At 44.5% G+C, this 25,413-nt stretch overlaps 1 long non-coding RNA gene and 1 pseudogene across 1 annotated transcript, besides 4 other annotated features; both read left to right on the top strand.

The window, feature by feature from the left end:
• Nucleotides 9,084-9,378: a silencer, noted in NCBI's record as "tiled region #13693; HepG2 Repressive non-DNase unmatched - State 22:ReprW". NCBI's record gives its function as "represses a minimal TATA promoter and a strong SV40 promoter by Sharpr-MPRA in HepG2 cells {active_cell/tissue: HepG2}" and the evidence as "EXISTENCE:reporter gene assay evidence [ECO:0000049][PMID:27701403]".
• LOC124904905 (uncharacterized) lies at nucleotides 14,413-16,053 on the top strand. The gene is made up of 2 exons (XR_007067588.1): nucleotides 14,413-15,252; nucleotides 15,520-16,053. It is a non-coding gene; the product is annotated as an uncharacterized LOC124904905 (long non-coding RNA).
• Nucleotides 14,589-14,828: an enhancer, noted in NCBI's record as "active region_17899". NCBI's record gives its function as "activates an Ori minimal core promoter by ATAC-STARR-seq in GM12878 lymphoblastoid cells {active_cell/tissue: GM12878}" and the evidence as "EXISTENCE:reporter gene assay evidence [ECO:0000049][PMID:35858748]".
• Nucleotides 15,049-15,268: an enhancer, noted in NCBI's record as "active region_17898". NCBI's record gives its function as "activates an Ori minimal core promoter by ATAC-STARR-seq in GM12878 lymphoblastoid cells {active_cell/tissue: GM12878}" and the evidence as "EXISTENCE:reporter gene assay evidence [ECO:0000049][PMID:35858748]".
• Nucleotides 15,409-15,618: an enhancer, noted in NCBI's record as "active region_17897". NCBI's record gives its function as "activates an Ori minimal core promoter by ATAC-STARR-seq in GM12878 lymphoblastoid cells {active_cell/tissue: GM12878}" and the evidence as "EXISTENCE:reporter gene assay evidence [ECO:0000049][PMID:35858748]".
• RNU6-1018P (RNA, U6 small nuclear 1018, pseudogene) lies at nucleotides 23,497-23,602 on the top strand (annotated as a pseudogene).

The raw sequence follows: 25,413 nt of genomic DNA, 5'->3' as shown, positions 1-25,413 counted from the left end.
TCACCACACCCAGCTGTTGTTTTTTTTTTTTTTTGTGTATTTTCAGTAGAGACAGGGTTTCACCAAGTAGACCAGGCTGGTCTCAAACTCCTGACCTTTGGTGATCTGCCCACCTCGGCCTCCCAAAGTGCTGGGATTATGGGCATGAGCCACTGCGCCTGGCCGAACTTTTTTATTACACAGAAATAAGAGTTTTTAAAATATTTTAAAATGCAAATATTTAAAACATCCATCTAGAACCACAGTAGGTGGGCCTAGAGCACTTGAACTTAAAAAAAAAAAAACTACTAGACTCCAGGGATATTGTTTCAGCTCCATGCTCCCTCCAAACAGCAGCGCAATCTGTTTGCATCTTGAATTCAAAGAGACCACTCAGGTGTCTCAACAGTTCCCATTTCAAAGGCATTAGGATTAAGTCATTTCACTTTTCTACACAGGGTCAGCCACAAACAGTAAATATACAGTTGTGTAGGAGTGACAAATGAAAGGAAATAATTTACATTTGTTGCCCAATACTTCCCAATTCAATTTACTATGCCAAATTCTTATGATAATCACAGCCTATACTGCTTCAATCAAATCAGATCCCTCTAACTCTCCAACCCAAACAGGGAGGAAGTCAGCATTCATGAGCAGTGTGAAAAATCACTGTATAATTGCAAATTAGAACCATAATCAGCCCTCTGGCCCCTGAGCCCTCTTCATCATGAGGCTGTGAACCAAGATGACTTCTTGTGAATATATCTGCAGGAGAAGAACGCCAAAGCACCGACAGAGAGCAAACCCTTGTTCATAGACCCAGTGGAGAGAACAGAGGGAAGAAATGTTTGTGAAAAATGAAACAAGGAGGCTTGTTATTCAGCAAATGGGGGCTCTAGGAGATCAGTGTTCTCTCTATAGCTAGTTTTTCTTTCTTTCTTTCTTTCTTTCTTTCTTTCTTTCTTTCTTTCTTCCTTTCTTTCTTTCTTCTTTCTTTCTTCCTTCTTTCTTTCTTTCTTTTCTTTCCTTCCTTTCTTTCTTTCTCCTTCCTTCCTTCCTTCCTTCCTTCCTTCCTTCCCTCCTTCCTTCCTCCTTCCTTCCTTCCTTTCCTTCCTTCCTTCCTTCCTTCCTTCCTTCCTTCCTTCCTTCCTTCTTTCTTTCCTTCTTTCTTTCCTTCTTTCTTTCTTTCTTTCTTTCTTTCTTTCTTTCTTTCTTTCTTTCTTTCTTTCTTTCTTTCTTTCTGATGGAGTCTTGCTTGGTCGCCCTGGCTGGAGTGCAATGGCGCGATCTCAGCTCACTGCAACCTCCGCCTCCCGGGTTCAAGTGATTCTCCTGCCTCAGCCTCCCAAGTAGCTGGGATTACAGGTGTGTGCGACCATACCCAGCTAATTTTTTGTATTTTTAGTAGAGACGGGGTTTCACCATGTTGGCCAGGCTGGTCTCAAACTCCTGACCTCATGATCTGACCGCCTCGGCCTCCCAAAGTGCTGGGATTATAGGCGTGAGCCACTGCACCCAGCCACTAGTTTGTTTTTAAATACAAAAGTGATGACCGGGCATAGTGGCTCATGTCTGTAATCCCAGCACTTTGGGAGGCCGAGGCAGGTGTACCACCTGAGGTCAGGAGTTCAAGAACAGCCTGACCAACATGGTGAAACCCCATATCTACTAAAAATACAAAAAATTACCAGGGCGCAGTGGCAGGCATCTGTAATCCCAGCTACTCGGGAGGCTGAGGCAGGAGAATGGTTTGAACCTGGGAGATGGAGGTTGCAGTGAGCCGAGATGGCGCCATTGCACTCCAGCTTGGGCAACAAGAGCGAAACTCCGTCTCAAAAAAAACAGAAAAGAAAGAAAGTGATGCATGCATGTAGTATTTTTTGGTTTTTGTGCGTTTTGTTGTTGTTGTTGTTGTTGTTCAAACAGTAAAAGGAGTGACATTCAAAATATTTAATGACTGTTGCAACTAGGGCACAGACTAATCAGGATGACAGATTCCAAGCCACTATACTGTACTGGGGAGTACCTACTGTACAGCAGATTGGATATACAACAAAGAAAGAGGTCTCTCACCCCAGACTCCCAGCTGCACTCCCCAGAGGTAAACACTGTTTATTTCTTAGGACTTATTCCAGAAATGTTTCGTGCATCTACCAACATATCTCTGTGCCTATATACCCCTTTTTGTCTAGAGCATTGCTTTTGAAAACACCATACTGTTCTGGAGCATACTTTTTTCTTTTAACAGTGTATTTTGGCCAGATACTGTGGCTCACACCTGTAATCCCAACACTTTTCAAGGCCGAGACAGGTGAATCACTTGAGGCCAGGAATTTGAGACCAGCCTGAGCAACATAGCAAGACCCTGTCTCTGCCCAAAAAATAAATTAAAAATTTGCCAGGTATGCTGGTATGCGCCTGCAGTCCCAGCTACTCAGGAAGCTGAGATGGGAGAATCACTTGAGCCCAGGAGTTTGAGGCTGCGGTGAGCTATATGATCCAGCACTCCAGACTGGAAGACAGAGTGAGACAAACAAACAATGTATCTTAGACATTGTTTGCTCTACATCCGTAGCTCATTTCTGTTACACTTTAGCAATGCTACTCAAAGTTTGGTCTGTTTACCAGTGCAGAGACTGTTTGCTACTGGTTTGAGAAAAGATAAGGGAGGAGCTTGCACCAGAATGCAAATCAATTACGTCTCTAAGCGCACTGTTTATTTCTGTTGATATATACCCATGACCATTGAATAACGCAGGGGTTAGGGGCATCATCCCCCTATGCAATCGAAAATCCATCCATAACTTTTGACTACCCCCAAAATGTAACTATTAATATCCTACTGTTGACTGGAAACCTACTGATCAACATAAACAGTCGATTGACACATATGTTGTATGTTTTATGTATTATATACTGTATTATTACAAGAAACTAAGCTAGAGAAAATAAAATAATAAAATAAGGAAAATATATTTGCTATTCATTAGTTGGAAGTGGACTGTCATAAAGGTCTACATCCTCACCATCTTCACACTGAGTAGACTGAGGAGGAGGAGGAGGAAGAAAAGGAAACTTTGGTCTTGCTGCCTCCGAGGTGGCAGAGGTGGAAGAGGTGGAGAAGGGGAAAGGGAGGTAGGACAGGCAGGCATATTCGGTGTAACTTTCATTGAAATAAATCCACATATGAATGGACTTGTGCAGTTCAAACCCATGTTGTTCAAGGGTCAACTGTAAATATATATATATTTTGTCAGAAAGACTCTTGATAAAGTCATTGATTTACATTCTGGCTCAAGTTCTTTATCTCCTAGCAGACCAGTAACAAACAACAGGCTATCTATTTTGAGCAGTACAGCCCCAGAGCAAGTACTTTCATAAGTTATTTAACCAGTCCCCTCTTGATGAGCAATTGGGTTCATACAAGTGAACGTTCTTGTAGGCATACGTCTTCATGAACTTGGGAGAGGATTTCCGTAGGAGAGTCCTAGGAGTGGTATTAAGGTTGCGCAATTGATGAAAAAGCTGGTCATGATGGTGCCAGAGAGTTAAAAGTGACCTCAGAGTCACTTCTAAATCAAAAATAATGGGTTATTCAATGCGAAATTGAGTCGTCCAATTTTCACATTTCATTGATGAGAAAGCCAAAACCACAAAGGTAAAAGCAAGGCCCAATGTCTATCAAGTCAGTGTCAGGAATGGGCCCAACTCCTCTGAAAGGCACTGGGTGTCAGCAGAACAAAGACCTAGACACAAGGCCTTAAGGCCTGAGCTAAGGGGATGGATGGAATGACTCTGTCTCCCCCAGCAGTATAACTGGAAACAAGGGTATCTCAGTGTCTCCCCGGGGCCTAATCTACAGGAAATCCACGTTCTGTTTTAATGGGTGTTGCTGAGCTTCCTAGGAACACCTGTGAAGGAGACTGGAGCACACTCCTTGGGCCTGTCTTAAGCTGCCCCATGGAGGAAAGAAGGAAAAGGTCACATTAGACCAGGATATCCTAAGAAGGCAGATAATTTATTAATACCTCGAACTTTGAAGAGTTCAGTGATAGTGGGCTCTGGTCAGAGAAAAAAAGGAACTAAGAGCAAATGAAGGATCAAAATGATAGAGAACAGAGCTGTAGAAGACATGGATGAGGTAGAGGTTCCATAAAAGCTAAAGAAAGCGATCACAGATTTAGAAGGAGAAACAGCAATGGAGTCCTGGAAGCCAAGAGAGAAAAGTTCCAAGAAGGAATAAGCAGACAGCAGCAGCAAAAGTTGCAGAGGACTCAAACGAGATGAGGACTTTAAAAGAACCCGTGGATTTAGCAACATGGAAGCCACTGGTGGCCTCTTGGAGTCACTTCAGTAAAGCAGTGACAGCAGAATTCAGACTGCAGTGAATGGAGAAGGGGATGGGAAATGAGAAAATTGAGCCATTGAGTGTAGACGGTAATTCTTGGACAGACCGGTTGGGAAAGAAGAGAGAAAAAAAGGAGAGTAGAAGGTGGCTGCTGGGGGACATAAGAGTGTATCCTGTAAGAACTTTACTCAATCTCTGCATGCACAGGCAGGTCACTCACTCTCAGGGCCAGAGGTCGCTGGGGAGAGAAAGGGGAGTCCCAGCTCCCTGTACCAGCCTTCGCTGAATCGTGATTCCCTGAAGATTTGTATAAATTTTCCATAGTAATAGAACTCTGTGCCCATACTGTTTGCAAGATGTGTGCATGGGGTATGATAATAACAATAGCCACCATTTATTGAGAGCATATTTATGCAAAGCTAAGAGTTTTACATAAATTATCTCATTTAATCCTTACAACAACTCTGCGAGGTAAGCCTTATAATTTTTTCTTCAATTCAAAAATGGTAAAACCTGAGACACAGAAGCCTTAATTAGCCTGCTACAGGTCATCCAGCAAATAAATGCAGCAATGGGATTCAAACCCCAGTTCATCACACTCCAATGCCTGTGCTCCTATTAAGCCAGAGTCCCTCAAGCTGGACTCTATGAATCACATGCAACAGGCTCATGTGGGAGCTTTACAAAAATCCAAAAGCCCAGGTTCCATGAAAGATGTACTGACTTTTTAAAAATAAAAACTGGAGCCCAGAATCTGAAATCTCCACAAATGATACTATCAAGCTCTGCAAATGATTCCTATGCTCACGGAAGTCTTCTAAGGCAAAGTATCTACCTCCTTACTGTGTGAGCTGCCTGCTCTTGGTCTTCATCCACCTTAGGATTCACATGGGCTTCCTGAGGATAAAGAGAGCCTGGACTGCTTGTTTGAGATAAAGTAGCTTCCCAAGGCCTTAACCTGGACCTACTGAGCGAGCATGTCCACGGGGAAGGCCAGCAGTCTGTTATATATATTTAGCAAGCTCCCCAGGCAATTATTATCTTCAGAGAAGACTGAGAAACTCTGTTCAGTTATTCACAGCTAAAACTATCCTAAGTGCCACCCTGGGGTCTAATTTAGGTTCTAACACTTAATCATTCTGTGCTTCACTTTCTATAAAATGGGCATAAATGTGCCTGCCTGGCAGAGCTGTTGTGAAGAATAGATACCGTACTAAATAGGATTAGAATTATCTGCTTATAACAAAAACAAAATAACAATGGCTTAAACAAGGGGGTTTATTTTTCTCTCAGGTCTAAGTCTAGAGGTAAGCAATCCAGAGCGGGTATGAGGTCTGGGAGGAAAGTGTCTTGCTGTTAGTCTGCCCTTTCATCAGTAACACATTGCCTCTTGACACAAAATGGCAACTGAGGCTGCAGCCATTTTGTCTATAGCCCTGGGTAAAGAGAAGAGAAGAAGGGATTCACCACCCAGGCAGGCCAGATCCCCTTAAGGGGAGTATCTGGAAGGTCCTCGTGATACTTCTGGTTTATATTGCATTGATCAGAACTTAGACACAGGCCCACACCTAGTTGCAAAGAAGGCTAGGATCTTTTCATTCAATATCAGGTCTTTGCCACCCCAAATAAATCAGGCTTCTGTTATTTAAAAAAAAAAAATACAAAAAAAAAAACAAAAAAGAGGAAAATAAATATTGGTGTTTCAGCCAGGCTCAGTGGCTCACGCCTGTATTCCCAGCACTTTGGGAGGCCGAGGCAGGTAGATCTCCTAAGGTCAGGAGTTCAAGACCAGTCTGGCCAACATGGAGGAACCCCATCTCTACTAAAAATACAAAACTTAGTGGGGCAAGGTGGTGTGCGCCTGTAGTCCTAGCTGCTTGGGAGGCTGAAGCACAAGAATCGTTTGAACCCAGGAGGCAGAGGTTGCAGTGAGCTGATATCATGCCACTGCACTCCAGCCTTGGTAACAGAACAAGATTCTGTCTCAAAAAAAAAAAAAAAAAATTGGTGTCTCAGTCACAAGAATGTGCCTCTGCAAACTTCTCACTGCAGGGAGCTGAGGGCACCAGCTGCTGTGCTTTAAAATCCATTGGCCACGCCTCCCCTGGAGATGCACCCCACCAATGACGGAGTGCTGAGTACAGAGTCAGACCCAGTCCTAACAGACAAGAGACTCCTTTGCTAGCTGACTTTGGCTCAAGGACTCCCTGAGGGTTTTGCAGAACCTTTGTTAGAATGCTCCTTCCTTCAGAATGCCAACAACCCAGGCTTCTCTCCCTCTCTCCTTTTCTTGGGGCTGGTGGCTCTCCTGGCCTTCTCTAGCTCCCTCCCTCCTTCCTTTCACACAAGCATTTCCCCTTGTAAAACAACTGCATGTTTCATCCCATCTTGGTGTCCATCTCTCAAAGTAGCTGACTAACAAAAATGGCAAGGCAATTCACAGTTCCCCGCCCAGATTTAGTAATGCACATAACACTTGTGGAACTTGGTGATGGGAATGGAGTAGGCAATAAATAATAGCTATGCGGAGGGAGAAGAAGGAAGTAGTGCAGGGCCAACCATGGAGAAAGGAATGTTTTACTGAAAGGGAGGACACAAGGTCTGAGGCAAATCATTCTGTTTGATTCTCCTTCACACCCAAAGTATCTCCATTACGGTAACATTTGGTTAACCACAGCACCAAAGTCAGTGTGAAGAGGGGAATATAGATTCAGGTAGTTGTCATATGCCTGTAATCAAGGCCAAAGCAGGAGGATCGCTTGAAGCCAGGAGTTCAAGACTAGTCTGGGCAACAGGGGGAGACCCCATCTCTACAAAAAATACAAAAAATAGCTGGGTGTGATGGCATGAACCTGCAGTCCCAGCTACTTGGGAGGCTGAGCGGGGAGGATCACTTGAGCCTGGGAGGTGGAGGTTGCAGTGAGCTGAGATCGTGCCACTGTACTCCAGCCTGGGTGACAGAGAGAGACTATGTCTCAAAAAAAAAAAATTGTCATCACAGTACAATTGAACTGGTATTAGTTCACCAATCATTTCAAGTCGCTTTTCAACAAAAACAAAGAGGAAAAAAAGCAGTAGCACAGGCCCCAAGACAAAATTGCACAAAATAAACCCAATGTCCTGAGCAACTCTAGTTCTCATACTGGAAAAACAGCGACCAGATTACTTGTGATGGTGATTAAGAACACTATTTCCATGAGAACCGTTCAGTGTGGAAGCAAAAGCACAATCTCTACACAAGTAATAAAGAGTTTCGGCTGGGTGCTTACACCTGTAATCCCAGCACTTTGGGAGGCCAAGGCGGGTGGATCACCTGAGGTCAGGAGGAATTCAAAACCAGCCTGGCCAACATGGTGAAACCTCGTCTCCACTAAAATACAAAAATTGGCCTGGCATGATGGCGGGTGCCTGTAATCCAAGCTACTCAGGAGGCTGAGGCAGGAGAATCACTTGAACCCAGGAAGTATAGGTTGCAGTGAGCTGAGATCGCGCCATTGTACTCCAGCCTGGGTGAGAGAGCCAGCCTCTGTCTCAAAAAAAAAGAAAAAATTGGGAGGCTGAGGCGGGCGGATCACGAGGTCAGGAGATCGAGACCATGGTGAAACCCCATCTCTACTAAAAAATACAAAAAATTAGCCAGGCATGGTGGCGGGCGCCTGTAGTCCCAGCTACCTGGGAGGCTGAGGCAGGAGAACGGCGTGAGCCCAGGAGGCGGAGCTTGCAGTGAGCCGATATCACACCACTGCACTCCAGCCTGGGCAACAGAGTGAGACTCCGTCTCAAAAAAAAAAAGAAAAAATAGTAATAATAATAAAGAGTTTCAAGGAGAAAACACAGGGTGAGAGAAGGTGCAGTGGGGGGCACAAAGTGGATTTGAATCTGTATATGACACAAAAGTTCCCTGGGACTTAACCAACATCGTGTACATGGCACATGGTAGGAGCTTAATAAATGATGGTTACCCAGATACATGAATAGCTCACTCAAGGTTGTAGCTCACCACTCATAGATTCATCAAAGAAATATTTGTAGGCCGGGCGGGGTGGCTCATGCCTGTAATCCCAGCACTTTGGGAGGCCAAGGCGGGTGGATCATGAGATCAGGAGATCAAGACCATCCTGGCCAACATGGTGAAACCCTGTCTCTACTAAAGATACAAAAATTATCCAGGCGTGGTGGCGTGTGCCTGTAGTCCCAGCTACTCAGGAGGCTGAGTCAGGAGAATCACTTGAATCCAGGAGGCAGAGGTTGCAGTGAGCCAAGATTGCACTCCAGCCTGGGCAACAGAGCAAAACTGTGTCTCAAAAAAAAAAAAAAAAGAAAGAAAAAGAAAAGAAAGATTTGTAGAAAGCCTACCACGTGCCAGGTTCTGTGCTAGGCACCGATGATGTCACCATGAATAAGGAAGTTGAAGTCCTTGCCCCCACAGTCCTTCTTCAGAGAAATCTCCTTTGCAGACATTTTACATGGATCCCTCTACCTCTGTCTTTCTACATTCACAGACTGAATATGAGCCCATATCTATCAGACTTGAAGCCCCCATGGGCTGGTCCAAGGGTAGTACGTCATCCAAATTTATTAACATTAGTGTCACTAAGATTGCTATGCAACGCCCCACTGTGAAATTTGACTTGTCTTTTAAAAAATTAAATTAAATTAAACTAAAAGTTAAAAATAATGCCCACTTGAGTTGCTTCTGAAATATTCTCTTGGTCTCTGAAACCAAGTAGACTTACCCATGTAAAATTATCCTTGATGCAACCTTGGATTTCTATTGGCCTTTGTATTAGTCATCTATTGTTGCTTAACAAATTATACCAAAACTTAACAGCTTAAAATAACAAGCATTTATTATCTCATAGAGCCAAGGTGTGACTTAGCTGAATGGCCTGGCTCATGGTCTCTCATGAGGTTTCTTGCCATTAAGGTGTTAGCCAGGGATTTAGTCTCTGAAGACTCGACTGAGGCTGGAGGATCTGCTCCCAAGGTGGTACTCTGACATGACTAATAAGGTGACACTGGCTGTTGACAGTAGGCTCAGTTCTCTACTACATGGGTCTCTCAAGACTCCTAATGACATGGCACCTGGCTTTCCCTAGCATGACAGAAAGAGAGAGACAAAACCAGAGACAGAGAGACCAAGAGAGAAGCTATGATGTATTTTAACCTGATCTGAGAAGTGACATACCATAATTTCTCCTGTATTCTGTTTTTGGTGGGGTGTTTTTGTTTTTGTTTGTTTGTTCGAGACAGGGTCTTGCTCTGTCACCCAGGCTGGAGTGCAATGGCATGAACACAGCTCACTGCAGCCTCAACCTCCTGGGCTTAAGCAATTATCCCGCCTCAGCCTCCGTAGTATCTGGGACTACAGACTCACACCACCATGCCTGGCTAGTTTTTGTATTTTTTGTAGAGACGAGGTCTCATTTTGTTGTCCAGGCTGGTCTCTAATTCCTGGGCTCAAGCAATCCTCCTGCCTCGGCCTCCCAAAGTGCTGGGATTATAGGCATAAGCCACTATGCCCGGCCCTGCTTCTCCTGCATTCTGCTGGTGACACAGACCATTACTGCTGCTACATGGGAGGGGACCAGATAGGGTTTGAAAACCAGGAGGCAGGATCATTGGTGGCCCTCTTAGAAACTGCTTACCACAGTCTCCAAGAAGAACCCCCTCTCCCCCAAACTCCACCTAAACTCTGGAACAGGGAGGTGTGCAGATTTCACTGTTTCAAACTACGGAGGCCCACAACAAACAGTGAATTTACTCTGTCCTGGAAACTCATGTTTTAAGCCCAGTAGAACTGCTTTTCCTCAATTATACTTGAGCGTCATGCCATAGGCCTGCATAAAAGGACATTATAAGAAACAGCTCCAATTAAGTCACCGCTGTATTGCATCACTGTTCAGTCAGCTGACCCACGGGAAAAATATCTCTTTGGTCTCAGGGTCAGGAAAAGTTGAGCTTCTCCCAAATATTTGTTTTTCTCACATAAAATCTAGAATTTTATTACCACTCACATTTCCCTCTTTACTTTGGCCATTTGGAAGCTCGGAGCCAAATGTGTAAGCCTTTGCTGGTGTTGATCTTTTTGAGCTAATGTCATCCTGGAGTTATTTCTTCCACTTGTTTTCTATTTTCTCCAGCTACCTCAACTTTTTGTCTTATCCTTTTGTATATTTTGTACTTTTGTAATTCCCCTCAAAGCTTTTGTGGATTGAGATGGAGTTTAAATACACAATAAAATTAGTTTTTGCCCAAAAGACTGATGACCTGCATGTGCCATCTAGTGGTGAGAGAGACAACTGCCAGAATAGAAACCTCCCTGATTTTTCAGATGTGTTTTAGATGGGAGAGTGGTGAGTAGTGGGCAAGGGAAGAGGAGGGAGACCGGGCCCCCTCTGTGTGCTTTGTCAGGAAATTGAAACTGCTGAGGATTAAAGAGCCTCTAGGCAGGGCCAAGGAGCAGGTGATTCAATGGCTGGAAATGAAGATGATTTATCAGAATCTGAAGAAACAATCAAAAAATAGTGAAGAATGAGGAAGGCACTGGAAGTGGAAGGGTTAAGAAAAAAAACTGTTAGTAAAAGTAAACAATGAAAATGGACCTAATTGAAGCAAGTAATCACTTGAAAGGTGCTTAATGTAGGTTGATCACAGATGTGACCAGCCATTTTTTAAACATTCACATTAACTGTAGAAAGAAGCTTAGAGTCCAATGTTTTTATTTTACTTGAGAGAAAACTGGGGCACAGAAGCATTGAGCATCTTGTTCAAGGTCATACAGCCTATGAGCCCCAGGTCCAGGGTAACTCCTAGATCAGTCCTCTTTCCCCAGCACCACCCTACTCCTAACTGTATATAGCAGATGCTCATTTGGGCTTTCATTTTGCACACAGGGTTTCACAAGAAAAATGAGGTCATTACATAAAAATGCTGGATCCAGCATATTTTCAATGAATTATTACTAGCTGGTTTTGTAGCTACCCCCCTGACCTACCCCCAAAATGTCAGGGTGGTGGTTCAAAGCACTGGCTTCGTTAATCTTCACCATGTGGCAAGTCATCAGTTCACAATGATAGAGAAGGATTCCAGAAGCCAATGGCAGTAGGTGAGGGAGCCCCAATCTGGGGAAGAGAAAGTAAATTCACTCATCTACCATGTTAACCTAGCATCTGCTCTGGGCCAAGTTCTAGGCAGTTTGCTGGGGTGGCAATATCAACAATGCACTGGCCATGTCTGGAGCTATACGTATCCCATCTCCCTGTACCCTGACCTGTGTTCTTGGACACAACTTCAGCTAAAACTGAGGCATAGCTTGGATCTGGAGGGCCCTTGAAGACCTAGCCCAGGGATCTGTAGTCTCAAGTTGAATGTCTTGGAAACAGCCTGAAGTCAGGAACCAATGAGGGGGCTGGAGATACTGTCTAAAAAGGAACTTGAGACATTCCCATACTGGAAAGCACAAATATGGAACATTTTACTCATCTGAAAGAGTTCTATTAAACAGCACTGGCCAAGAGTGCCCTTTCCTGGATTTTCTGCTCCTCTGAGTCCTACCAGTTCTCCTAAGCCCTTCAGCAGCTGATATCAGCAGAGACTGATATGAGTCACTGATTCCTGGAAAAGACAGAACTCTGGTACAATGGCTGTTCCAAGTTGATGTCCTCAGAGGTACAAATGACACACCAGAGACAGAAGTTGTTTCTTAAACTTTCCGGGCTTCTGTGCTAGTAACGGGTGCCAGATGGGGCAAAAAGAACAGAAGGAATATTGAGGGGCTCAACCTTTGAGATCAGAAAGACCCAATTTCCTACCGAGGTTCTCCATTACTAGTTGGGTAATCTTTAGGCAGAGCCTTTGGGCACCAGTTTTCTTAGCAGCAAAAACTGAGAACTATGATTGTCACAAAGATTAAATGAGACAGTGGATGAGACAGTATCTGGCTCATGGGTAAGTGTAGATTTTTTACTCATCTCTTCTTGCGTCCTTTTGGATGCTAATTTCCACTCTGCCAAGGATAAGAACCACATGTCACCTTCTCATCAGGTGACAAGTGGAGGCTAGTCATGGCTAGCTGTTCCACTCATTCTCTTAATGAATATTTGTTATGAAAACAGCAATGGCCAGGTGTGGTGGCTCACATCTGTAATCCCAGCACTTTGGGTCACCTGAGTTCAGGAGTTTGAGACCAGCCTGACCAACATGGTGAAACCCCATCTCTACTAAATACAAAAAATTAGCTGGGCGTGGTAGCGCATGCCTGTAATCCAGCTACTTGGGAGGCTGAGGCAGGAGAATCACTTGAACCCGGGAGGCGGAGGTTGCAGTGAGCCGACATTGCACTGGACTCCAGCCTGGGCGACAGAGCAAGAATCCGTCTCAAAAAAAAAAAAAAAGAAAAGAAAGAAAGAAAAGAGCAACTGCCAGGCCTTGTGTTCTGCATCATACAAAGATAGAAAACACATCCCCAAGAGGAGGAGCTCACTGTCTCTTGGGAAAGACTGGTAGGCAAACCAGTAGTTACACAGCAGGGGGACAAGAAGTGAATTGAGAGTGCACAAGGAGAGCACAGAGGTGATGATATTTCAGCCAAGACAAAGTGTGAATAGAAGTTTGCCTGATCAGCAAGCACATAGGAGAGGGCATGCCAAGCAGAGATAACAGAACTTGCAAAAAAGGAAGACTGGAAAGTGAGGTAAATCCAATTACGAAGGTCTCTGAGCACTGTGCTGAGGAGTTTGAGCTAAAACTTGTAGGGGACACAAAGCCTCTAAAGGAAAGTCAAGTCATCATATTTGAGTACTGAAAATATTCCTATACTGCCAGTGTGGATATGGTTTAGAAGAGGCAAGACTAGGCTGGGTGCAGTGGCTCACACCTGTAATCCCAGCACTTTGGGAGGCCCGGCGGGTGGATCACCTGAGGTCAAGAGTTTGAGACCAGCCTGACCAACATGGAGAAACCCCGTCTCTACTAAAAATACAAAATTAGCCGGACGTGGTGGCGCATGCCTATAATCCCAGCTACTCATGAGGCTGAGGCAGGAGAATCGCTTGAACCTGGGAGGTGGAGGTTGCGGTGAGCCAAGATTGTGCCACTACACTCCAGCCTGGGCAACAAGAGTGAAACTCTGTCTCAAAAAAAAGAAAAGAAAAGAAGAGGCAAGACTGGTAAAAGGAAAGCCAGTCTCAATTTGTTCCACTCTCCCCTACTTCACTGTGTTCCAATCACAAGGGACTTCTCTGAGTTCCTTGAATTGCAAAACACCAAGCTCTTCCCCGCTCAGAGCCTTTGCACTTGCTGATCCCTCTGCCTGGACTACTCTTCTCTTGGCTGTTACACAGCTTCCTTCTTCTCAGCCTTCTTCAAGCATTTCAGACCAAACATTTCTTTCTTTCCCTAATCAATCTAATGTATCAATTTTCCTCCATTATTCTCTCTTGTAGCATCCTGGGGGTGGGGGTGTTCTATTTATCGCAATTTGACATTTTATTCTTATTTGTATTATGTGATCAGTAACTGTCTTCCCCATTAGGCTGTAAACACCATGAAGGTAAGGTTGTGTCTGCCCCTGTTCAACACCATGTCCCAGCACTCAACACACTGCCTGGCACGGTGCTAACACTCAATAAACACCGGATTTATGAGACTGTGAGTACAGCCGAGATGATCATGGCTTAACCAAGTAAGTAGCAGCAAACCTGGGAAAAAGAAACTAATGCTACACGAAGTAAACAGGATAGGTCTTGAGGCAGAATATGGCCTGGAGGCAGGGAACTTAAGGACTTGCTAGAATTAAATCAAATGAAACACTTCAGCTATGATAAGACACATCCTTTTTATTTATTTATTTATTATTTATTTGAGTCTTGTTCTGTCGCCCAGGCTGGAGTGCAACGGCGCGATCTCGGCTCACTGTGACCTCTGCCCGGTTCAAGTGATTCTCCTGCCTCAGCCACCAGGGGATTACAGGCGCATGCCACCACGCCCAGCTAATTTATTTTTATTTTTATTTTTAGTAGAGATGGGGTTTCACCATGCTGACCAGGCTGGTCTCGAATTCCTGACCTCAGGTGATCCGCCCGCCTTGGCCTCCCAAAGTGCTGGGATTACAGGTGTAAGCCACAACTCCCCGCCGAAATATCCTCTTTATTTACATAGGGCATACAATGCCTTTGTAACTTTTAACCTATTCATTTACATAAGGCATACACCAACTAACCAATGGAAACCTCTAGAGGGTATTTAACCCCCAGAAAATTCTATAACAGCGCTCGTGAGCCCCCATGCTCAGCCTGCTCCCACCCTGTGAAATGTACTTTCGTTTTCAATAAATCTCTGCTTTTGTTACTTCATTATTCCCTTGCTTTGTTTGTGCCGTTTTGTCCAATTATTTGTTCAAGACACCAAGAACCTGAACACCCTCCACTGGTAACAGTTTGAGACAAGTATCAGAATCAGTTCCACCTGTACCAAGTTCTAACGGCACTTCTAGCTGTATAGCCTGGGCAGGTCAACCACCTTTTATCCACCATGCTCTCCGTATTCCCCTCGTAAAATGATAACGACACCCTTGCAGCTTGGCTCAGCGAATGTCCTCAAACGCACAAACAACGCTAGGGCTAAATGAGCACACCCGGTAGAGCAGCAGCCGCTCCTCGAGGGCGGAAGTCACAGCCTGATCTAAGTACGGTGGGTAAAATGGATCCCCCATATGCGCAGCGCCATGGTCCTTTGTAACCTCATAAAGTGTCCGATGAGCAGCAGGGGCTGGAGGATAATTTAGGGCCAATATCATTTGTTTCTTTTACATTATTTCGCCATTTCTCAGAATTCTAAAATTTGTTTAATTGAAATATCAGCTTGAGGGATGCTGAAAACTGTACAGAGTAAAAGAAGAATCTCTGCTGAGGGATAACCAAGAGGTAGAGATGGGAAAACGTTCATGCGCAGCACCCCCTGACGGAAGGGAGGAGCTGGTGTGGAAGATCCGCGCAGCCCCGCCTCTTTCGCGGTGGTTCCAGTCCCACTTGGGACCCCCACGCCCCGGGAGTGCTAGCGGGACTCGGAGACCTTCACGTTACTACATTGCCCAGGGGACCCCGAGGCGGGCCTGGTTCTCCTCACAAAGGGAGGGGCCGAGCCGTGACTCGCTTCCTCGCCTCGAAATGCGGGTTGTTTTAATCGAGCAGGTTTCGCCCTTCCCCATCAGCCTGTGAAGCTCCCAAAAACGTCCGGCCAACGGCACCAGTCCCATCTAATCAGCCAGGAGGAAGTAGGCGCCGCAAAGCCCCCTGCGAAATGTAGTTTCCAGGAAGACTTCTGGGAAACAGAGTCCGAGGCAGGCGACAGAGCGCTCTTGCAGCCAAATAGAGCCGGGCTAGGGGCGCGTCACGTGACCTGTGCAGCCAACTGTTCCGAGACGTGGCCTTTGCCTGAGCTGCTGTTAGGAGAGGTGCTCAGGTCTGGGGAGTAGCTCCTACCATCGCCTGGACTCGACTTCTGGACTGGCCTCCAAAAGTCGACACAGCCCCTGCGTCTTTCCTATTCCCCAAACCGGCGCTGACCTCATATTTGCATACACTGAAACTTGTGGCTCTCCTTGACTTGGGTTGGTAGGCTCTATAGGACCTCACCATGTTCTCTTACCCATGGTTTCTGCAGCAGCCAAAATGATCCATTCCATGTGCTTTAGAGCCTTAGGGAATAAACCATTAATCAAGTCATTTGATTGCCTCATCTTTGAGGACATTTTTCACTACCTGTTCACACTCCTTGTGCTCACCCATGACTGTCCCTCAGAAACTTAAGTCCTGGGACCCTTCTGCATTCTATTAGTCTTCTCCTAGTTTCATTTCTTCTCCTAGCCAACTTAGATCCTAAGAATCCTCTCCTGCCTTATTTCCTTCTGTAACAACCTCAAATCCTGAATTAATACAGTTGTCTAATTTTGGGTCTACTAGGTGCAACTGGAGGGGAGGAATACATCTCCTAAGCTCACAGGTTGGTGCCACTAAAATCAAGGTTTCAGACTTCAACTAAGCCCTAAATACAACCAGCTGGTTGCAGCACTGTGGGGAAGGAGGCTAACCAATAGAGGAAAGGGATTCGCTGCCAAGAGTCCTGGTGGAAATACAAGGCTTTGGAAGGACTATCTTTATTGCCTCCCACCTCACCCCTACACTTCATGTTTGTACTAGAATGGCATGAGAATGAAATGTAGAACTGATGCAGGCAAACCCAAAAACTGGGGCTCAGCTTGGGAGGGTTCTTGGCTTCAACCAGGAAAGAATTCAAGAGTGAGCCAACAGTAAAAGAAAGCAAGTTTATTTGAGCAACATGTACAGGAAAATGGCTGCTCCGTAGACAGAGCAGAGCTATCCCATAGGCAGAGTGGCACTCATGGACTAGCTATCTTTATATTCACTCTTAGTTATATGCTTAATAAGGAACAGGTTATTCACAAACTTTCTAGAAAAGGGGCAGGGAGCTCCTGGAACCATATAAAGTAACTTCAAGATGTTGCCATGGAATTTGTAAAGTGTCATGCACTTGTGGGAGTGTCTTTGTGCGAATGTAGTAAAACTCCTAGTCCTAGCTGGTTTGGGCTGGTTTATTTGCTACATCCTGTCCTGATCAGCAGGGTTATGACCAGTGCTCAGAAAACAAGCCCTGCTGATCTGCTACCTCATTACCCTTTCAGAGATTATATACTCCTCTTTAATCGTAAAGTGTTGTAGAAGGATGGAGGTCCATCCTCTGTCACTGCCTCCTACTGATTTTGTGGGCATAGTGTCCTCCTCTTGTGCCTGTGGGGACTTATGAGAAACAGGTTTAATTCTGGACAAGTGTACCCATCTAGTGACTCCCTGAAGTTTAACAGCAGTGGGGATGCTTAACAATGCCTGGTAGGGTACCTTCCATTTTGGTTATAATTGATCCTCGTGGGATCCTTCTTCCCAAGTTTTTAATAGGACTCTGTCTCCTGGTTGAACAGGGGAGCTATTTTTTTTCGTTTGTGAAAAAGGGAAATACCTTATTTCCATATTCTTGAAGGGCCTTTTGAACCTGGTCTAAGTTAATATGAGTAAGCATTCTGTGTGTCTCCTCATCAAACAGGAAGCCTGAAGTTAAAAAAGGGCCCCCCATAGGCCATTTCAAATGGGCTAAGTTTTAAGGTTCCCTTCAGAGCCATCCTTATGCAAAAAAGGGCCATGGAAAGGAGAGATACCCAGGTCTCTGAGGTCTCCTGACAGTTTTGCTAATGTCCTATTTAAAACATGATTGTCTTTTTCTACCTTACCTAAGGATTGAGGCCTCTAGGAGGAGTGAAGATGATAGATAATGCCTAAGGCTGAGGAAACCTGCTGGGTCACCTTAGCTGTGAAGGAAGGTCTCTTATCACTTTGCAAATATGTTGGTAATTCAAAACTTGGGATGATTTTTTTAAAATAACAATGTGGACACTTCCAGTGCTTTTTCTGTCCTTGTGGGGAAAGCTTCTATCCGCCTGATGAAATTGTTATAAGTACTAGCAAATACTTCAGTCCTCTGTATACGGTGGCATCTGGGTGAAACCTATTTGCCAGTCTTCCCCATTGCAGGCTTGAGTAGGGGTGGGGGTATAGGGTGGCTTCCTGAGTTGTTACAGGCACAGAGTTCACAGGCCCTGGTGGCCCTTTTTATAGTCCGGAATAGCCCCTGCTATTCCAGAATAGGTAAGTCCCTGCCTAACCCCGATGTTAAATGGTTTACTGATGGGAGTAGCTTTATTCATGAGAGAGTAAAGAAGGCAGGCCAACAAGAAGTTATTGAGGCCAAAGCTTTACCTCCTCACACTTCTGCTAAAAAAGTGGAATTAATCACTCTAATTAGGGCTCTCTGATTGGGAAAAGACTTGAGTCAATATATTTACTGATTCAAGGCACAAAAATTGCTTGAGCCCTGGAGTGGAGGTTGCAGTGAGCCGAGATCATGCCATTGCACTCCAACTTGGGCTACGCAGTGAGAATCCATCTCAAAAAAAAAGTATGTGTGTGTGCATATATATGTGTGTGTGTGTGTGTGTGTGTATGTGTGTGTGTAAACCATTTAACATCAGGGTTAGGAAAGGACTTATCTTTAAGGTCAAGCCTGCTAGAGTAGGTCTGTTCCATGGTTTCCTCCGTTCTCGGGACATTGAGTCCAGCAACAGAGTAGCAGGATTTAAAACCTGACATACTTTAAGGGTAAACTCTTGGGTGTGGAACAGAGGGATCTAATATTTGAGCAACTGACTCCCTGTTAGCCATTAATGTCCTTTTGCTCTAGGACCTAGTGTACTTGATTGAGGAGGGAAAGTAATGACATCTAATTTTTGTCCCAAGGAAGACTTCATGGCTTTTTTTTTTTTTTTTTGAGACAGAGTCTTGCTCTGTTGCCAGTCTGGAGTGTAGTGGCATGATCTTGGCTCACTGCAACCTCCGCCTCCTGGGTTCAAGCAATTCCCCTGCCTCAGCCTCCTGAGTAGCTGGGACCTGGGACTACAGGCACATGCCACCACACCCGGCTAATTTTTTTGTATTTTAGTAAAGATGGGGTTTCACCATGTTGGCCAGGATGGTCTCGATCTCCTGACCTCGTGATCCACCCGCCTTGGCCTCCCAAAGTCCTGGGATTACAGGCACGAGCCACCGTGCCTGGCTAACTTCCTGGCTTCTTCTACCAATAGAATGGTGGTGGCCACAGCTCACAAGCATCCTGGCCATCTGGCCACCACCTGATCTAGCTTTTTAGAAAAATAAGCCCTGGTCTAGGATTATTCCCTAGCCTTTGAGTTAGAACACCCAAAGCTGTCCCTTGTTTTTCAGCCACATAGAGAGTGAAAGGTTTTTCTAAGTTTGGGAGTCACAAAGCATGGGCCATTCCCAGATTTTCTTTTAAGGTTAGGAATGCCTGTTGGCAGGTTCCATCCCAGTTCAAAGGCTCGTGATCATTCCCTTTTAGAGCTTCATAGAGTGGTTTTGCTATGACCCCAAACCAGGGAATCCAGATATGGTAGAATCCACCCATTCCCAAAAAGGTTCTTAACTGTTTCTTAGTCTGATGGCGCTGCAGTGCCAGAGTGGTCTCTTTTCATTCCTGGCTATTGTCCTTGTTCCAGGAATAAGCATGTATCCCAGGTATTTAACCTTTTGCACAGAAGTCTGGGCCTTGTGGGAGAATACCCGATACCCTTATTTTCCCAAGAAAGTAAGGACCTGAATTATATTTTTATCAGAGTCGTCCCTAGTAGGGCTGGAAATTTATAGGTCATCCACATATTTTAGGAGGGATCAATTCATTAACTGTAGTTCCCTTAATTATTTTGCCAATACATCCCCAAAGAGATGAGGACTGACCCTAAAACTTTGGGAAAAGGCATTCCAGGTAAACAGAGATGTAGCATGAGCATCTGGATCAGTCCATTCAAAAGTTAAAATATACTAGGAGTCTGGGCGCAAAGGTATAAAAAGGAAAGCATCCTTTAAGTCTCATACCGTGAATCAATTAGCATGTTCAGAGACTTAGGTCAATATTGTATAAGGGTTAGGAACTATTGGGTAGACTGGAACTAATGCCTCATTAACTCCCTTCAGATCCCGAAGAAATCTGTATTTCTCACCTGGTTTCTTTACAGGCAGGATGGTAGTATTATATGGGGACTGACAGGGTTGTAATAATCCTTACTTTAGAAACTTTTCTATCTGGGGCTGTATCCCTGCTTTTGCTTCAGGTCTCAAAGGATATTGTTTTTCCCATGGGTAAAACATTAACAGCTCTATCAGGAACTTCTTTGTCCCAGACAGAAGAGTCTACTTGAGAAGTAATATGCGGTGGAAGGAAGGTCTTTTCTTTACCTGTAGTAAGTCAAGCACTTAGAGCTAGAAGTAGTGCCCCTTCCCGGCCTATTGCCTTTTTGTGGGGCTCTCCAAATTGAACTGTGGCCTGTAATTGGAAAAGTAAGTCTCTTCCCAGTAAAGGAATACTGCACTGAGACATAAGCTAGAACATGTGGGAAAACATATGATCGCCTACAGTGCAACCAAGGGGATGGGTGAATCTCCTAATTTTTGGCTGGCTATCAATCATGTACCTTGTATAAGGTGGTACTCTTGTACCACCAGTATGGTACAAGAGTAGGAAGACAGTGGCCCTGAGAAATGGGTCAGAACTGAGAAGGCTGCTCCCATATCCAATAAGAACTCAGTATTCTTACCTGCCACATCAAGAGTTACCCACGGCTCCTCTGTGGAGATGGTAAGGTGTCCAGTGGGAGCCATGGGGAACCTCAGGTCCCGTCAGTTCTCTGTTGTCTTGGCCATTATGGGTTTGAGTGGCCCAGATTCCCCTTGGAGCCTGAGGCAGTCCCTTTTCCAATGGCCCTCTTGCTTATGGTAGGCACACTGATTCTGGCTCAGGGGCCAGCAAGTTGGGGGCTATCGTCTGGGCAGCCCAGACACCGATCTTGCAACACTTCCCTGGGATGAATAACCTCGAGGCAGCAGGTGGCTTAAGGCAGCCACTAACAACTGGGCTTTTTGGCTTTTTATTTTGGTTTTCTCTGCTTCCTCTGCTCTGTCCCTGTTGTTGTAAACCCAATGGCCATGTACAAGAGTTGACTCATGGGAGTTTGAGGTCCCATTTCTGCCTTTTGTAACTTCCTCATAATGCCAGGGGCATATTAAGTAATTAAATGCATACCTAGGAGAGCTCACCCTTCCAGGGAGTTTGGGTCTACACTTAGCATATTTCCTGCTTGCCTCAACCAAACTGTCCTGAAATAGAGTGAGATTTTTGTCCTTCCTCGGAGTTACTTCTCTAACCTTGTTGTAATTAACTAGCTTAACCACACACTTTTCCATACCTACTGTTAAACAAGTTACCATGTGATTTCTGTGTTCAAGATCTTGGGAACCCCTCTGGTAATCCCACTGAGGGACCAGATCTAGAGCTGCATCTCCCCTCACATGATAAATGGCATGACCTTAGTTACCAGTTGCCACTCCATTTGCATATTCATGAGCAGTACCCAGAATCCTTTGTTTCTCCTCTGCAGTACAGCAGGTAGACAATAATATTTGCAAGTCATGCCATGTTAAGTCAAAGAACACGATCAACTGAACAAATTTCTCCGTAAACTTTCCTGGATCCTCTGAAAACCAACCAAATTTCTCCTTGCGTAAAGTCAAATCAGACAAAGAAAAAGGCACATGGCTGAGCACAGTGGCTCACACCTGTAATCCTAGCACTTTGAAAGGCCAGGACGCGCAGATCGCTTGAGTCTAGGGCTTCAACACCAGAGTCAGGCATCCCAGAGTCAGGACAACAGGGGACCTCTCAAAATTAGAAAAGAAGGGGTTAAAAACAAACACGGAAAGTGTCTTGCCTTACATTGAACAGAAACAATTGCCCAAATATCTAAAGGAAAGACCACAAATGCAACAACAAAATAAGTGTAAAAGTAAAATGGCGGTCATTAGCCACTAAAGAGAAAAAGGAAGGTCCAGGAGAAAGGGTGACAAGGACATGCCAGGCCTGCTGCCATTCGGGACACTCAGATGATGGGGGACAATGAGCTACCAAGCCAGAGACTCAGTTCCCATTTCCTGGCTCACCCAAAAAGGTCAATATTGAGGGGGAACAAAGGGAAGACTGACCTTTGTGTGTGGAAGTCAAATGGTGCTAATCTGTCTTTATTTGGGGTTTGGGTGAAGGTTTCCCTCAGGTTCCCTTGTCTTGTGAGTTGCCAGGAAAGATGATGGCTCTGAAAAGAGTCCTTTAGGCGCAGCTCTACAGCGCAAACTGCCCTAGAGTTACAGCTTCATAGTGTTACAGCTCCACAACTCCGATCTGTACTGAGTCACTTTGTCCCATTCATCTTGTTCCCATTGTTTGTCCCATCTGGGTCACCAGGCTGATACAGGCAAATCCCGAAATTGGGGCTCAGCTCAGGAGGATCCTTGGCTTCACCCAGGAAGGAATTCAAGAGTGAGCTGACAATGAAAGAAAGCAAGTTTATTTGAGCAACAGTGTACAGCCAAGTGACTGCTTCATAGACAGAGCAGGGCCATCCCATAGACAGACTGGTCTGGAGTAGCACTTGTGGATTGCTGGCTACCTATATTTATACCCATTCTTAATTATTTGCTAAATAAGGGGTGGGTTATTCACAAACTTTACGGAAAAAGGGAAGAGAGTTCCCAGAATTATATAAGATAACTTCCAGGTCATTGCCATGGCATTTGTAAACTGTCATGGTACTGATAGAAGTGTCTTATGCAAGTGCATTATAATTGCTGGTCCTACCTGGCTTTGGGCAGTTTCTTTGCTACCTACCATTTAGATAGACAGGGTCCTGACCAGTGCTCAGAAAACAAGTCCTGCTGATCGCCTACCTCAAAACAAACCAAAACATTAATTGTGAGAATATTCTAGAAAGACAAGTTGGTAAGAAAGAAGATACTGTAAAGACTCAAACAGAAATGTAACATAACATGTAAAGAATGAAATAAGAAATAGCAAGGAAATACAGCAAAGATGCTAAATTGGTGTAAGTTAAGAGTTAAATGAACCCAGAGAACAAATGATAAAGTCCTTTAAAAAGCACTATGATGGAAAGAATGGGGTGTTCCTGGTGGAAGGCCTGGCACAGGTAATGTTTTGTTAGCTTTCCAGAAAGATTAAAAGATTATGCCCAAAGGATTCCCTTGAGAAGTGGCAGGTGTAAGAGGACTCTGGAAATCAGTAAGTAATCCAGCTTCAAAAAAATAATTTTTAAAAAGTAGTCTCTTCTTGAGGAGAAATGGAGATCCAAAACAGATGTTTGAGCACATCAGAGGCCCCTACTGTTCTGCATCTGCAGAGGCAGAATCTTATGCAGTCTGGGCTCCTGTTGTCACCGAGGCCATTAAGCCATCTCTGAGCACCGCTGGGGGGCCACGCACAGCCTGAACCCTCTCCGGGAGTGTGCTGCCAAGCACTGGAGAGGAGATTTAGTTTGGTTTTATTCTTATCATGATCATGTTTTATTAATTTATATCTTTCATTCCTCTATAACATGAGGTCCATTTGTCATCAGTGAAATACCTCAAGCCAGATATATACTGTTTTCACATACCATGTAATATTTGATACGATTAAGAAAAGCCGTGCTTGCTTTAGCAGCACAAACACTAAAATTGGAACAGTGCAGAGATTAGCACATGGCTCCTGTACAAAGATGACACACAAATTCATGAAGCATAAAAAAGAAAGAAAAGAAAAGCAGTAAACTGGTGAGTTAACAGTTAACTGGAAAAGGTATCGCTTTGAAGGCAATTCAATTTATTACCCGTCTACATATCAACCTTACCACCTGATTCTAAATTTAAATACTTGCTGTTTACCAACAGGAAATTACAACTCCATTTACATGTGTCTCTGGGGAAACAGCATGCAAAGAATGGCCACATCTTCTTTATATATGCAAGGCAAATATCTGGAACAAAACAAAACAATTCTGGAATCCCACATGACATTAATATTTTAGGAGTAGATCACAAGATCCCCAAAGAAGAAAACAAAAAAAAAAAACTTCACATTATAGAAAAAGAAATCACATACACATCAATTTTGAGTAAGATAGAGCAATATATCTCAAACTACTTGTGCAAAACCAGTTGGTTTTTTGTTCATTTTAATTTGTTTCAACCAATACTTTTGAGAAATAAGAGTTTGTTTCTAGAAAAAAATGATAATACAGTAAATTATAGAATACAAAATACAAGTCTCACTTTTTAAATTATTGATTCAGCATAAATAAAATCACTCTAAAATTGCAGTAAAAGTTCCCAAACACTTAGGCTCAGTTCTCTATTTAGTTGATGGCAGACCAGATCACCAACCCACACTTGTCCAAGGACCATATTTTGAATACACTGAGATAAAGCATCTAAAAATGGAGATCTTAGCCCAGCACAGTGGCTCACCCTCCTAGTCTCAGCTACTCAGGAGGCTGAGGCAGGAGGATCTCTTGACCCCAGGAGTATAGGCTGCAGTGAGCTATGATAACACCACTGTACTCCAGCCTGGGCGTCAGAGCAAGACTCTGTCTCTTTTTGTTTTGTTTTGTTTTGAGACAGGGTCTCGCTCTGTCACTCAGGCTGGAGTTCAGTGGTGTGATCTCGGCTCACTGCAACCTCCATCTCCTGGGTTCAAGTGATTCTCCTGCCTCAGCCTCCCAAGTACTGGGATTACAGGTGCCTGCCACCACACCGGTCTAATTTTTGTATTTTTTTTGTAGAGACAGGGTTTCACCATGTTGCCCAGGCTGATCTCGAACTCCTGAGCTTAAGCTATCCACCCGCCTCGGCCTGCCAAACTGCTGGAATTACAGGCATGAGCCACTGTGCCTGGCAGATACCCTGTCTCTTAAAAAAAATTAAAAATGAAAAAGTCATAAAAATGGAGATTTTCCAGGCCAGGCGCGGTGGCTCACGCCTGTAATCCCAGCACACTCAGAGGCCGAGGTGGGCAGATAACAAGGTCAGGAGATCAAGACCATCCTGGCTAACACAGTGAAACCCCGTCTCTACTAAAAATACAAAAAAATTAGCCAGGCATGGTGGTGGGTGCCTGTAGTCCCAGCTACGTGGGAGGCTGAGGCAGGAGAATGGTGTGAACCCAGGAGGTGGAGATTGCAGTGAGCGGAGATCGTGCCACTGCACTCCAGCCTGGGCAACAGAGCAAGACTCTGTCTTCCAATCAATAGAAAAAGAGGGAATCTTCCCTAACTCATTTTATGAGGCCAGCATCATCGTGATACCAAAGCCTGGCAGAGACACAACAAAAAAAGAGAATTTTAGACCAATATCCCTGATGAACATCGATGCAAAAATCCTCAATAAAATATTGGCAAACCGAATCCAGCAGCACATCAAAAAGCTTATCCACTGTGATCAAGTGGGCTTCATCCCTGGGATGCAAGGCTGGTTCAACATACGCAAATCAATAAACGTAATCCGTCATATAAACAGAACCAAAGACAAAAACCACATGATTATCTCAATAGATGCAGAAAAGGCCTT

The sequence above is a fragment of the Homo sapiens genome, chromosome 20, assembly GCF_000001405.40.
Source record: "Homo sapiens chromosome 20, GRCh38.p14 Primary Assembly".
NCBI classification, from domain to species: Eukaryota; Metazoa; Chordata; class Mammalia; order Primates; family Hominidae; genus Homo; species Homo sapiens.
The sequence above is the reverse complement of the archived record's forward strand: the minus strand, read 5'-3'. Positions and strand labels throughout refer to the sequence as shown.